The 15,429-nt window shown below is 41.0% G+C and overlaps 1 protein-coding gene across 12 annotated transcripts in view, besides 1 other annotated feature; it reads left to right on the plus strand.

Moving 5' to 3' along the window:
• Nucleotides 6,987–7,186: a silencer, noted in NCBI's record as "silent region_999". NCBI's record gives its function as "represses an Ori minimal core promoter by ATAC-STARR-seq in GM12878 lymphoblastoid cells {active_cell/tissue: GM12878}" and the evidence as "EXISTENCE:reporter gene assay evidence [ECO:0000049][PMID:35858748]".
• The window catches only part of ST6GALNAC3 (ST6 N-acetylgalactosaminide alpha-2,6-sialyltransferase 3), a 562,594-nt gene continuing 554,350 nt past the window's right edge, over nucleotides 7,186–15,429 (plus strand). For all 12 annotated transcript variants that reach the window (NR_146056.2, NM_001349109.3, NM_001349106.2 and 9 more), the window contains exon 1: nucleotides 7,186–7,324. Coding sequence is in view for 8 of the 12 variants with exons in the window: in NM_001349109.3 (NP_001336038.1) it covers nucleotides 7,307–7,324 (18 nt within the window). In the remaining 4 variants the exon portion in view is untranslated. The remainder of the gene's footprint in view (nucleotides 7,325–15,429) is intronic.

Consider the following 15,429-nt stretch of genomic DNA (forward strand, 5'->3'; position numbering starts at 1 on the left):
ATGCTAATAGACATACTTTTGCTGAAAATATGGACAAGGGCTAGTTTATAGGGAGAGAGGTGGTTGACTATTCTTCACTAATTTTTAAATGGCAAAGTTTTATTACAGTTAAAGAATGGAAACAGACAGCTGTGAATAATTCATTTAAAATGTAAGCTGATGAAAGAAGGAGACAGACATTTTTCTAGTGTTCAAATTACGCGGTGCTTGTCCTAAATACTGCTGAATTCACCACTTGGAAGGGAAGACAAATCTTATTTGGAACGTGCCATTATTTAGTATGTAATTTCTTAATATCTCTTAATTATAAAGGTGTCAGTGAAAACCACAAACTCAGTTATTTAAATCTTTGATGCTTTTGAAAATTCAGCTATCTTCATCTATTAGACAAAACAGATTTATTTATAAGATTCTATTAATTACATTTTAATAAAAATGAAGATGAAATAAAGTGGAACAAACTGAAAAAGAAATCATAGTGTTAGTGAATAATTTTTAACTACACTAAATATCAAATAAACACAATGCACCATGGCTGGTTAAAAAGTACTACATACAGTGATTTTTTAAAAAATCATGATATAAAGAAGGTAGCTTCCACTTAGAAGAAAAGCATCACTGATTTCTCAATCAACTGAGAACAGCCATAGGGATAATCACAGGCCACTCTTGTCATTAAACATGAACTCAAAATCCATCCAAATCAAGTAATCAGTCTGATGATTAAAAAGTAGAAAATGCCTTATAGAGAAATATAAAATGATCTGAGAATATCATATGTGATGAAGGAAGTAATAACACATCCAAAGTTTCTTACCCAAAACCTTTGAGCAGCATTCAGAATGGTAGGACAATCTGATTTTCAATTTCATACATTTATGGTTGCTAGCATCTTTCATCTGGAATTCTTAGTTATCTCTTCAGAGTTGAATGAATCAAATCAGATTAATCAGCATTAACTGAGCATGTAAGGTACTGTATTTCCTTGCTAGGGGCACAAAAAGGTGAAGGCTGAAAAGAAAAAGAAGAAACCAGTAAGCTTCCAATCTATTAGGGAAGTAAGGCTAAAAATAATAATAAAAAAAGTAGATAACAGGTCAAGTGAACACTGGAAAAAACTTCCACCAGATAGGATGTGACTCATTGCCAAAAGAATTTTGCAAACAGTAATTGTTGGAATTCAAAGAGGAGAAACTACACTAGACTAGGGTGGTCTGAAAGGGCATCAAGAGCCAAATGGGATTTGATCTGGGATTGAAGGATGGTGAAATCTAGCTGAGTAAAGAATGCGAAGATCAAGACAGAGGTTGGCAAACTACTGCTTGTGGGCCAAATTGGGTCTGCAGATTGTTTTTCTATATCTGCAGAACCAAAAGTGGATTGTACATTTTTAAATAGTTAAAAAAACAAAGAATAATATTTCATAGCACTGAGAAGTACATGAAATATAAATTTTAGTGTCCATAAAAAAGTTTTATTGGAACACAGACACTGCCCATTGTTTATTTCTATGGCTGCTTTCATACTACAATGGCAGTGTTGAATAGTTGTGACAGAGACCAAATGGCTTGCAAAGCCTAATATTTACTTGGCTCTTTGCTGACAAAGCTTGCCAACTGTTGGTGTAAGAGAATAACGTGCAATGATTAAGGAGACAATGTTGGCAGGCCTATAAATGTATCAAGAGGCCACTGAAAGTTTTGACTATAGGAGGAAGCCCATTCACAAATTGTTTCTGCTTCCTATACACATCACCTGGGCTTGCAAATGTTTGTTAAACCAACAAATGAACCAGGATTTTCAGATTCCTAAGTCACTTGTTGCTTTATATCTGTTGCTCTTGAAAAGAATGAATGGCTTTTCCACAGGGGACATTCCCCTTTACGTTTGTCTGTTCCACCTTCACGCAGGTGTGCTGGGAGCAGCTTGATACATATTGACATTGTTGGGCACAATAACAATACCTTGTGTTTCAGGGGTTGTGTGAGAATGTATTCAGGTGACTTCTTTTTGGACCTTTTTTCTTTGCATTGGATGATGTTTTTCTTCTACCTTTTCTACAATAGTTCAGAAATAGATACAAACAGGAGGGTTCGGGGAGATTCCTGGAAGGGGATGGTATTGACACGAAGAATTAGCAAAAATCATAGCTCTCTCCAGAGGGTTTGTGAGGGCTAGACCATTAGAGGAAAAAAATGGTTCAGGCAAAATAAACTGCAGCAGAACCCCAACTGTTAGGCCCTCTCCCCTGGGTGTTCCCATCAGTCCTGCATGGATGCATTTCAAATACCAACTTTCCATTCTAATCTTTTAGGGCAGCATGTAACCAGGCCTCACTGAGAGGAGAAATCCAAGAAGAGTGTAGAGAAACACACATGAGAGGAACCTCACAATAAAAAGGAAACAAACTCTGGGAAACATGGTTAAGAAATATCAGACTCAATTAATAATGGAGGCTTCAACAGCCTTGGAGAGATCCAATACAAACTAAATTCAAACTATATGCCAGTGCTTCTAGCCATATTTACTTTTTTTTTCTTTTTTTTTTTTTGAGATGAAGTCTAGCTCTGTCACTCAGGCTGGAGTGCAGGGGCACGATGTTGGCTCACTGCAATCTCTGCCTCCCAGGTTCAAGCAATTCTTTTGCCTCAGCCTCCCAAGTAGCTGAGACTACAGGTGTGCGCCACCACACCCGACTAATTTTTGTATTTTTAGTAGAGACGGGGCTTCACCATGTTGGCCAGGCTGGTCTTGAACTCCTGACCTCAGGTGATATGCCTGCCTGGGCCTCCCAAAGTTCTGGGATTATAGACGTGAGACACAGTGCCCAGTCCATATTTACTTTTAATTGATTATGTTTTTTTTTTTAAAAAAAAACTTAGAGGAAAACTCTTTAAGAAAAACAAATCAGGCTAAAAACTACATTCTTCTAGGTAATGAAAAGTAGGCAAACAACATTAGTTTTGGATTTTTTAAAAATTAAAAACAGCTTTTCTTAATTGGTTCATTTGAAAAAAAATGGAAACTTCCAATAGGGAAAGGTAGAGCTGAGATGAAGTTAAGGGAGAATGTTACTGAATGGGAAAATATATAATATTTTAAAAATGCAATTTTAAATCATGCGTAACTTGTCTTGGAGTTCATCCCAGATAAGTATCAGTATAGTCAGGGATGTTGACGAATTCTGGATTAGAAGAACTGTGCAAAGGTTTGAAATAGCAGTAAGCTCAAGTCTTGGGAATGCAAACTGGATGACATTTTGGAATGTCCTACTATCGAAAAGGAGAGAAATGAAGCTTAACCCCATATGTCAGTGTATTCTCATAAACAGCTACCTAAAAGGGCATAGCCAAGATGCAGTTAAACATAGCTACAGACACACGTGTGGACCTGGACAGCTAGATGCCTGCTTTAGGATATGAAAAATTTCCTAGGTCACAATTATAACAGTGCAATGATTTCTAGAAAAAGAAGATCATTTCCTATCCTGGCTCAGAATGTTAAAAAAAATGACTTTCCCATAACATTTTCTAATGGATCTTCCAGTCACAGTCTCCTATGGAGGCATAATTTATGTAGTGGATGACAAAGAGTTTTATGATATCTGGAATTCATTTAAAATCTTTAGATTGGAAAAATTGAGATCCAATTAAAATCTTAATAAATGACTCTGTGTTGCATATAAATATATTAAATTAATATGTGTGCAGGCTGAAATTGGAAAAGTTATGAGAGTCAGCATGTTAATTCTATTTCTATCAGGGAACTAACTGTATGTTATAACTCTGAGAATTATTGGGTAATGGGGCTGTTTACAATGAGGCAAAACTGAATTTAAATAGCAAATATTCACCCATGACTTGTCATAACTCATGAAGTCTCCACCTTGAGGCATGGTGAAATCTCACTAGTGAAAGGCCTCTGAGGAGAGGGAAGGTGGACCAGGAAGCCAAGAAGAGCCCTAGGGAGGCTGATGTAGTGAAAGGGCCAGGTCCAAGGATCTCTCCATGAAAGGAAGCAAAGGCTGGCAGGCTGCTCTGTGGCACCCCCACGTAGTAGGTGAGATGCAGCAGTGAGAATCTTTGATTGGAAGTCATTCTCATGCACAGAAGGTGGTAACAGCTTGGTTGGTGAGAGACTGATGAGAAGTGCTGGGTCTTTGTTAAGGTATGACCCAGGGGCTGAGGGTTGAAAAATACAGGGTGAGTGTATGTATCCGGTACACTCAGATTGATAGAGTGTACCTATCCTCTGCATACTCACATATTTACCCTAGGTTTTGTATCCTAGTCTGTATCCCGGGGAGGATTCATACTTACCCTAAGTTTTCCTATGGCTACACTAAGACAACAGATGAAATGTGAAGAGTGACAAATGACAGAAATTGGGCTTCTAACATACTGGACAGCTGAATGTAGCAGTTAAGATGGCAAACCCACAAGTCCCTAGATTCAAACCCCTGTTCCCCTAGTTACCAGCTGGGGATGATAACATCCATGTGGATGTTGTGAGGATCAAATGAGATACTTTCTTTAATTGCAGGATGCTCCATTTTGTTATTATTATTTTTGGAAATAGAAACTCTTGGCTTTAAGTCACATAATGTTAGAGCTGGAAAATTATGCTACACCTATGGATTTGACTAAGCTGTTCCTGTAGTTTGGCCAGTTTTAAAACAAAAAAATCCTGGCAACACACTCCTATCCTCCCAGCCCCAACAAATCTGGCTATCTCCATTCCCTGGTAGGTTCAAAACCTGTTTTTATTTCCATCCAAAAGCTTCCCCCCCACCCCCAGACATCGAGTGGTCCATCTAAAACAGTGATTGTTAATACTGTTTTGTAAATCTTCCAGTCCAGATTTATTCTAGAACTTGAGTTTGTTTTTAGATTGTTATAAATGTGCCTTTATTTCTAGCTGTTTGACATAACTTTTGGATGTTAATAAAAAAAATAACACCTTGGGAAGTATGGACATGGGTGGATAGAAATGTAATTGAGAAAGCCATATCCAAGTAGATTGAGGGAATTAGTAAAGGCCTCATCACGGCATACCCAAGTCATAACATGTTAAAAGTTTGCTCCGTTGGTGTTCATCCTCCTGAGACACCCAAGGCTGATGGCAATTATCCTATTCATCTTCTCCCACAAGTCTGTCTTTAGCGGAAGATTTTTTTCTTTACATAAAGAGCTATCATATAAAAAGTGCTCATAGTGCCAGAAATTGAGGTAAATGCAATTTGCAAACATTATTATCTCATTTAATTCTCTTGAGGATAGATAATATTAGATAAGGTAAGGATTAAAGAGAGGTTAAGAAACTTGATCAAGGACACCCAGCAGGGAAGTACTTAGCAGGGCTGTTCACTAGGGCCTGCTGTTTCTCTTTCCAGATGTACAGACTTTCTAGAGAGAACGATGTGCTCTGCCCACCCTCACCCCTTTGCTCTGCTGTTCTGCCAGGGACATGCAGGAGACGGAGGCCTTCCTCTTAACCGCAAGAGGCCTTCCTTTTTTACTAATATTCCTCAGCACAGACCCTTTACGGGTGTCGGGCTGGGGGACGGTCAGGTGTTTCTCTTTCTCCTTCCTGAGATCTTTGCTTCCAATTTGGCTAAGGCCCTTTCCATGTTATAGTATCATGTATCTCTTATTCTTGTCTTTCTCACTTAACTGTGAGCCCACCTTGATGTTAGATATTCTGAAAGTCATTCTCCTATCCCTGAAAGGTCTTCAATAAAGATTTTTCCTCCACTTAGTGGAAGGTGAATAAAGTTTATTCTTCCATTTAGTAGTGGCTCAATAAAAAAGTTTGTGGAATCAATCAAGGGATGAGTAAATGAATGAAATACTGAATTTTCCTGGCCTATGAAGGACCATGAGCTAAAGCAGCGGTTTAAAGTATATAGTCCCAAACAAAGAATTCTTACTAAAAACACACCGGATCTGTAAGGCAGAGGAGGGAGGGGCGGGAGGAAGAAGTCGAAGAGCAGGGTGTGGTATTCCAGGGAGACTGAAGACAGGAGCTTCCCATGGGACAGGCAGTTCATCCACAGGCTCAGCTTCTGCAACCTCCTTCCTGTGGTTACTCCTGCTCTCTAAGAATTCTGCATGTTCTCATCAAGAAAATACCAAATTCCTTGAAAGCCTGGATTCTGCCTTGTGGTTTGTGAGCCAATCTCATGACACCACCAGCCCACAGTGCTTTTCCTGATTCCATGGAGGCAAACTAGACGGAGCTTCTAGCAAGTGAAACTTCTTTTGGGTAGATATTTGGGGGCCGCTTTTAAAATTTTTCTGACAGACCAAGTGGTAAAAATCTGTGTGTGTACACGGAATGCTCTCTCCCTTCTGCAATGCGTTTACTCTCCTTGTAGAAATAACTGCTTCTCTTAGCCGGCTCTTGCTTGGAGCAGGGAAGAGCAAAGTCCTATCATGTACACATACACAGTTTATAAACATATACTGTACAATCAACATGTACATATATAATACAATATACACATGTGTGCATCCTGTATCTGTATACTGTATATCATGCATATACAATTTCATAAACAAGCTTGTACCAGGAAAAGGCAATAATTTATATATTATACACACATACATGTATATGTAAAATATGTACACACACACAAAATATACCATACAGAGTGTAAGGTTCATGACGTCTTTCTTTCGTTGATATTTGTGCTCACTTATTAGCGGTAAATTATTAATTTTAGATAAGCCCATCACAGAGTGAAGGCTCAATCCTTGAACAGCCCAGGGAGAACTTCGTTGCTACTTTTGAAAAGCCCTTTGATGTGCCCAAAGTCTCCAGAAGGGCGATGCCAAACCCACTCAACTTTGACAAAGTGTGAAACGTCTGTAAAAAGGAGTTCTCTGATGTGTGAGAGGAGACGGAACCGAGAAGAAAAGGCCGTACTCTGCCCCCCGCGGGACCCAGGTCCCCGCCTGCTGCAGAGCGCACTCTGCGCACGTCGAGCCGCGAAAGGTTCACAGAAGAAAACAAGAGAAAGAAGTAGCAGGCACTGAGGAGCCGCCGGCGCCGGCGCCCAGGACGGCACGTGACCCGGGGGCGGGGCCGCGCGGGCCGCGGGCCAGTGGATGGGGACGGGGGCGGGGCCGCGGCTCGGGGGGCGGGGTCTGTGGCGGCGCAGCTTACACCGCGGTCCCCTTATTTGGATCTGCGGGAATGTGGGCTGGAGAGGTCCTGCCGTGGTACCAGCCTCCAGCCTGCCCCCAGGACTGCCCCTGACCCAGGCGCGCCCGCTGCTCGGTGGCAGGAGGGCCGGCGGAGCGCCATGGCCTGCATCCTGAAGGTAACGACTTGGATCTGTGGCTCGGACGCGTGGTTGGCCAGCCCCTTGCTGCTCAGAGGCACGGAGTCAGCCGCGGTCCCACCGCATCCTCATCTCAGTTGTCTTTTCCTGGCATTGATTTTCTTTTTGTTCCTTTGGCAAATGCATATGGAGGGAGATTCTGAAACATGCAGCTGGCACAGCTTCTTTTCCCACCATTCCTGCCTCCTGCTCGCGCCTGCATTGAAGGAGCTGCAGACTGTTGGCTCCAGGGGAGAGCAGGGCTGTGTGCCGAATAATGGGGATGGTAGGGAGAGGAGGGGTGTTCCCGCGGGTCCCGCGGCTCTGTGGAGCCTGAGGCCTTTCAGGGGCCACGGGGAGGGGTGGAGTGGCTAGGCGTGAGTTGCTGGTGGTGAGGGGCATAGCGCTTTAAATGGAGGGAAGAGTGAGCGGAGGTGGGCTCTACTGTGCATTTGATCATGTGAAGACAGAAACTTCTGAGTTTACAGGTAGTCCCTTAGGAATGAGTTTTCTATGAGATCTGCTAGCTCTGTTTGCCCTTAGCTCTACTTTGGAAAAGTTCACACGAGGATGTATATGTTAGTAGAGAACCTCTCACTCTCTTTATGCTCATAAATTTGAATAGACAAAATGATTTTATGCTCTGCCAGAGTGCGCTCAGCCATCCCTTCTTTGTTGAGTTTTCTTTCTCCAAGACCGGATTCTTAGCCTCACCTGAGCATCTTTCTGGGTTCACAGACTTGTGGCCTCAGGTGGGAGAACTTGGTGTGAGGGCCTCACTTAAAAAGAACTTTCCATCCCACTGGTAGAGGCCTCCCCTGCCCTCGTTTTTTTTTTTGCACTACCTTTCTACAAGAACATAACCTGGATGCATGAATCAAAAACATGAACAGCATGAAAGTTTCCTGGGCCTTGACTGGAGAATGCAGAGACCTAGTTGTCCAAGCCTGGGGGAACTGTGTGACGATGGAAAATACCAGGAAACAATTCGTTGTTGTTGTGTTATTGTGAAGTAGCATTTATTTCTCTATAAGATGATATTAAGTCATCTACTGTGTTCTGGTTACCTGAATCGTCTTCTAACGTGCCTGGTGTCAATGATGAAAATAAGAGACTAACCTCGTAGAAGTTGTTTCCCCTTCTTTGCGTAAAGGAGATCAGAAGTTTCCTGTGAGCTTTCTGAACTTCCTCTTTTTGTTTCAGAACATTTTCCAGGACATGAGGAAATAATACATCAGTATTACAGTATGGGGTATTTGACCGGGAGGCTCTTAGCACAAGGACTGAAATATGAATATGAGTCATCTTTACTATTCATTGTGTTATTTGCTGAAAGGGACATTGAGGAGCATGATATTTATTGCTGGCCATCTTTTTCTGTTTTGGTTTCTCCCCTGCCTTGTCCTATACATGTGGTAAACATCTTTAATGCACATCCCAAACTACACATGAATCTGGTCCAATCTTTCTCTTCTAGCACTTCACACTGCTTTCAGACATTTGGGACATATCTGTCCACCTTATCTTCCCTCCACTGAAACTAATGTGGGCTTTAGACTCAGAAAGATATGTCTGGATGCTGGCTCTGCCCACTGCTACCTCTGTGATGTTGGACAAGTTACTTAAATGTCTCTGGGCCTTAGTTTCTTCAATATAAGATCAAAGTAGTGGCACCTGCTTCACAAGGTTGCTGTGGGAATGAAATAAGATAGGGTATGAAAAATACTTTGTGGCACAGGCATTTAATATGTGCCATTTTTTTCCTCTAACATATAATAATAAGTGCAGTTTGGTTGATCCTTACTATATCCTCAGTCTGTTTCTTATAACTATTATTTTTTATAAAATACAAAATGTTTTTTATTCTTTAATCTTTACATAAAACCCTGAAAGATAAGTATCATTGTTTTAAACCCCATTTTACAGATGAGAAAGTTGACGCTCCCTAGTTTAAGAGATTTGCCCAAGGCCACACAGGGTTAATGACAGAGTGATCCTGGATTTAGACCCAGATATGTCAACCTTCCATATACTTTACTGCTGTTCCAGTACTTTCCCAGGTGATGACTTTTAAGATGGCCTAATACCATTCAGTTCCAACCACCTTTGAGCACCTTTGAGCAATCCCCTTCTCTGGTCATGGTCTAGACAGTCTGGGCTGGATCTTTTTTCTTTGTTGTCTTTGAAAAGCTACACATGGAGCAGTGCAGAATACAGGTTTCAGTCCAGAGACCTGAGTTCAGTGCAAGCCTGGCTTCTTGCATATGATTTTAGACAGCTGCTGCAACCTGGAGCCTCAGTTTTCCCTTGTTGAAGTGTTCATAGAATTATAACCATTGCGTTACAGGGTTTTTATGAGGATAAAACTATGGACTTTTTTTTTTTTAATGAAATATTTTCTGCCATTTGCTGACCCTGGACTTGGTGTTGGCATATGTAGAAAAGGAAAGATTTTCCTCTGCCCTCTTAGTTTCTGTGCCTGGTCCTGATAGCTAAACTGACAAAAGGCATATTAACAGAGGAAAAACATACACATTTTATTTGATGTTAATGTTTTTATGTGTACCACAGAGGGCTTCCTATATAAGAAATAAAGACCCGAAGAAGGGGAGAGGCCTGAGAGTTTATAAAGCATTTTAATAGAGAAGGATAAATTGTGGAAATGTGACAAGACAAAGGAAAAAGGGGGTTTGGGCTGGGGCAGTCGATTGTGAGAAAGTGGGAAATGTATGGGGAAAACTAATGGAAAATAGGTGAGTGTTTTTACTAGAGATTTATTTTGGTGTTGACTCTCCATCTTTGATCATAAGAATGTTCTCCTCTTCCTGGCACAGGGAAGGGACATTTCTCATGGGAAATTTTATGCCTTGCTTTTAGGTAGAAATGGGGAGGTCAGAAAGCCCTTCCTGTATCTGCTTTTTCTCAATTGCCTTTAGCTCAAAATAATCAATATGCCAAAGTGATATATTTTGGGGTAGCCTGTTCTGATTCCTTTTACATCACAAGATGCATAAACCATTGACCCCATTCTCAAATGGCTTATGGTTTAGTAAGGATGATAGAAAAGTAAATGAGTGCTTAGGTTACAATGTGAAGAATAAAACTACATAGGTCCATGGAGGGCATAGTAGAAGCATGGAAGGAGAGAGCAATTACCCCTGTCATTGGGTAGTTCAGACAGGCTTCCCACTGATGATATTGGAGTTGTGTTTTGAAGACTAAATAGGATTTACTATGACGGAGCTCGTGTTTTAGAAAGATAAGTTTTGAGGCAGTGCCAACTTTGTTCTGTGGGCTAAGACTTTAATCTTCTCAATGAATTTTGCAGTAGATTTTACTATCCATTTTTACAAATGAGAAAACTGAGATAGAGAGATATTGATTAAAGTATCATTATTGCCTACACAATAGTGACCCTCACTAAGAAGAGACCCCCATGCTGTGGCAGCTAATTTTGGTCTTTTAGGGGATATGGAACTATCCCCTCAAGGTGCTGTGCATGCTGAGGGCCCATTCTGCCAATGCATAGCGCTAGTTCTCGTAACAGAACGATGATCACTTCATAATCATTTAATTTAGGAATTCAGACTTCACATTGCCTGGACTTTAAAGCCAGAAATATGTGACTTTTAATTATGGCTCCACTCCTTATTGATTATAGAGCCATAACAAGTTTCTTGATTTCACTACCTCAGTTTCCAAAATGGGAATCATGCATTCCTCAATGGGTTATTCTAAAGGTTAAATGAGATAATCTGTATATTAGTTATATTGCAGGGGGAAAAAAGAAACTCTGAATCTTAGCAGGTTCATTTCTTGCCATGCTCCTGGTTAGGCAGCTCTCCTGTGTAGCTCTACCATTGAATAAAGAATCAACTCAAGGACCAGTCTCTTTATTATTATTATTTTTTTTTGAGACAGAGTCTCACTCTGTTGCCCAGGCTGGAGTGCAGTGGCGTGATCTTGGTTCGCTGCAACCTCTGCCTCCTGGATTCAAGCAATTCTCGTGCCTCAGCCTCCCAAATAGCTGGGACTACAGCTATGCACCCCTATGCCTGGCTAATTTTTTGTATTTTTAGTAGAGACGGGGTTTCACCATGTTGGCCAGGCTGGTATTGAACTCCTGGCCTCAAGTGATCTGTGTGCCTTGGCCTCCCAAAGTGCTGGGATTACAGGCATGAGCCATCGTGCCTGGCCTAGGACCAGTCTCTTTTCATTAAGCAGCTCTGATGTCTTCTTGGGCCCCAGAGCCCTTGTCAGATTCTCTGTTTTCAGCAGCTCCAGGAGACAGATTACAGGGAAGATCTCGTGGGGTTGTTTAAAAAGTCTCTCAAATTTGATAGACAGGAAAACTCTTTGCTTTAATTTGTATTTATTTGATCATTAGTGAAGTTAAGCTTTTAAATTTGTATTAGTCATTTGTCTTTCTTCTTTTATAAATTATAGATACTTTAAAATTTTATGCAAGAAAATCTATCCATATTTTCTTTTATGATTTCTACCCTTGGTCAGCAGGTACATTTTCAGCACAGTGTCTTGTACACTTTCATTTTTAAAAAATATAGGTGAATTGTATTAACTTTTATATTGGAAGTGGACATTGAGTGGACATGTAGACACAAGATCCTTGAGAATCATTTCTGCCTTCGAGAAGATTATGGTTTTGCCAGGTTGATGAGGCTTATGAACATGAAGCAGTTAGCTGATACGATAGATGCATGACTAAGCCACAATTACCTTCTCTCCAGTGACCTGTCCTCATATATTTATCTTGATTGATAGGTAATTAGATGAATGATGATACCAAGTTAGGAACTTGGCGTCTTCTCATTTCCTCTTCCTCCCCCTGCCCCAGATCTAATCCTTCTCCACAGTGCATCAGTTCTGTCTCAGGAAAACCTCTCAACTCTGCCCCTTACTTTCCATCCTTACTCCCCCTGCCTTGTTCAACTCCCACTTTAGAGTCACATCTGTGGTCAGGCCATCCCCTGCCTCAGCAGGCTTCCTCTGTGCTCCTGTGGTCTTAGTTCTTGTCCCTGTAGTAGCAGGTATTACCATGTACTGTCAATAAACTGCTTTCATGCCCAGCTCTTCTTTGACTATCAAATGTTAGGGAGCCGCGGCCTTCCAGTGTTTACTGAGCATCTGTAATTGAGTTCTGTTCTTACCCTAAGTGAGATTATAGACTCAGTGAGAAGGCAAATAATTAAACTAGTAATTAAAAGTATGCGAGGAGTTTGAAAATTACACCTCATGGTATGGGAGTATATGGGTGGGGTGTTGACGGTTACTGAACTGAATGTAAAAGGCAGAAAAGGCTTTGTTTTATTCAACTTGGTATTTCTAAGAACTAGCTTGGCTCTCAGTAGGTGATCCTTAAGTGTTTGCTGAATGTATCAGTGGTGTTATTAATTTTTTTTTATGTCAGTTATAGACACAGGTCCAACCTGTCTTCTGAAAACAGCTGAGCATTTCAAGGATGTGGCATGGATTTTTTACTCTAATGTATAGCAGGCAGATTAGAGCTTGTTGATTAGTTTGCTCCTTAAATTTTTTCTTAGTATGTTTCTTGTAGGTAGGTCTGTTACCATTCCTCATATAAAATCTGGGGCCAATTTAAGATCTGGGGTTGGGGGGATGGGGAGATGAGAGAACTGGACTAGAAGGAGGGAAAAAGAGAAGTGTAGGCGTGGTTTAACTTTTGTCATGATCATTTTGGTTCCCCAGATTAACAGAAACAGATAAACCAAAAAAAAAAAAAAACAATCAAAAACCAAACACCCACAACCAAATGATTGTGTGGTTCTCAAACGATGAGGTCTCAAAGCATTTGAAAACAGTATGGCTTCACTGAGACTGGAAAGCCACAGGGACTTCACAGGTACACAGATGATAAATCTGAAACCGTAGGATAACCCTGGCAAGTAGACAAGTCACTTCATTTAATAAATCTGCTATGACATTTCTTATTGCTGCCCAGGAAATGCTGAATTCTCAGCAGCTGCCTGGCCTAATTTCCAGTCTTACAGTGACTGAGCAGATGCTTTTGCTACGTATATCAGCACATTGTGGGGAATGAGTGGCTTGGGTAAAAGTAGTGCTCTTTGGATGGATTGATAACAACAGCAACAATAGGTGCCATTTATTGAACAGCCAGAGTGCTCAGGCTGGCTTCTGTGCTAAGTAAACTTTTATTACAAATGAAGACACTGAAGTTCAGAAAACCTAAGTAAATTGTCCGATGTCCTGTGGTCAGTAAGTGATGGAGGTGGGGTTCACCCTGACTTCGTGTGGTTGTAAAGCAGGGGTGTTCAAACTTTTGGCTTCCTTGGGCCACATTGGAAGAAGAATTGTCTGGGCCACACATAAAATACACTAACACGAATGACAGCTGGTGAGCTAAAAAAAAAAAAAAAAAAAAGCAAATCGCAAAAGAAATCTCATAATGTTTTAAGAATGTTTACAAATTTGTGTTGGGCCACATTCAAAGCTGTCCTGCGCTGCGGGTTGGACAAGCTATAGAGCTTGTCTTTTACCTTCAGTGCCAATTTAGTAAATATTTATAGGGATTCTGAATTTATTTCACCATCTTCTACCCCAGACAATATCCAGTCTAGACAACTTCCTAATCTGGTGGCCTGATGGGGACCACTTTTAGCTGTGTCGTTTTTATTTGTTCCTTTAAGTTTCCTTTGTGACAGAAGAACTAGAGGAACTAGAGGGGCTGCAAAGACTGAGGAGATAAGAAGGCTTTAATTCTGTTTAATTCTGAATAGATCTTTGACCCTGGGCAAGTTATGTGAACCTATGTGTCCTTTTTGGGGGTGGGAGTGAGGGAGAGTTGGATTTACCCTGAACGCAAGCTTCAGGGCCCTTCCAAGGTTCTGGGAAGAGACACTAGCATTTTGGTATTTATAATTTTATATTCATTTTATCAAGGAATCCCACAAATCGTATACATTTCAGGCTCCCCAACATAGATCTGTCCCTTGGGTGGTGTTGGAGAACCAAAGAGATAATGCTTGTGAATGCACTTTGCAAAGCAGAGTGCACTGCATAGGCATGAAGTGGAAATGGCAAAAAACGTTATTAGTATTATTAGTACTGATAATAGCTGGAATCGAGGAAACCTTTGTTGAAGGACTAGTGGGAGAAAGAAGGGGTTTAGGTCTGAGGAAAACAGGGAAGCCTATTAAGCTTTCTAGTAAACGACTGAGCGAAGTTATGAAAGCTTCTCCCCAGGAGAAAAATTTCTGTTTGTAAGAATTTAACACACACTTATGCCTGAGGGCTGGGAGTTGAATGAGGTTCTTTTCTGTTTCCTGGCTTTAGGGAACAGTGGAGGAAGGCATTTTTCTAATTGGAGGGAGTAGATTTACAAGTGCTACCTGGATCCCATTACCAAAAGCTGCAGTTAGCTCCTGGTTATTAAAAGGCTCATTATTCAGTTTATGGATTATCCAGACCCCATTTGCCTCCAGCCATTCTGATGTACACGTTTTATGCCTTTTACTGCCAATTAGCGCCTTCACCTGAGCAGAGAAAAAAGGGGGTGCTAAACCCCAAATTTGTTAATTTCTCTCCTTGTTAGCAGCTCTGTAAAGGTTTGTCAGCAGGAGAGTGGGCCTAGGAAAAGGTTCAAATGAGGTGAAGGGATTATCTGCGCTTTCTCTATTGCTGTTTCTCTCAATTCAAAAATTGAGACTAGGCTCTGGTTCTGACTGTAAACTGATTTAAAGTCACTAAGTCAGAGACCTTGGCCTGGGATATTAAGAGACTTTAATAAACAGCAGCCCTAGGGTAGGTGACATTCTTTGAGAAGCCCCTTACCCCACACTCCATATCTCCAGGCCTCTCTTTCATTTCCTGTGTGATGTGGAGGTGTGGGGGCCAACAACATCTGGTACTTGAGAGAGTGAGGGAGAATTTACTCCTAAACAGATTTGTCGGAGGCCAGAAAAAGAGGATACTTGGGTCGTTTTCGTGTTTTTTGTTTTTTTTTTTAAAGGTGTGTTTCTCTGTGCACACATAGCAAATATAAATATACATGCACATTCATTCAATCTTATCTTAATATTTACTCAGATTTGAAAACTATCGCACGT

The sequence above is a fragment of the Homo sapiens genome, chromosome 1 (genome assembly GCF_000001405.40).
Source record: "Homo sapiens chromosome 1, GRCh38.p14 Primary Assembly".
In the NCBI taxonomy this organism is placed as follows: domain Eukaryota; kingdom Metazoa; phylum Chordata; class Mammalia; order Primates; family Hominidae; genus Homo; species Homo sapiens.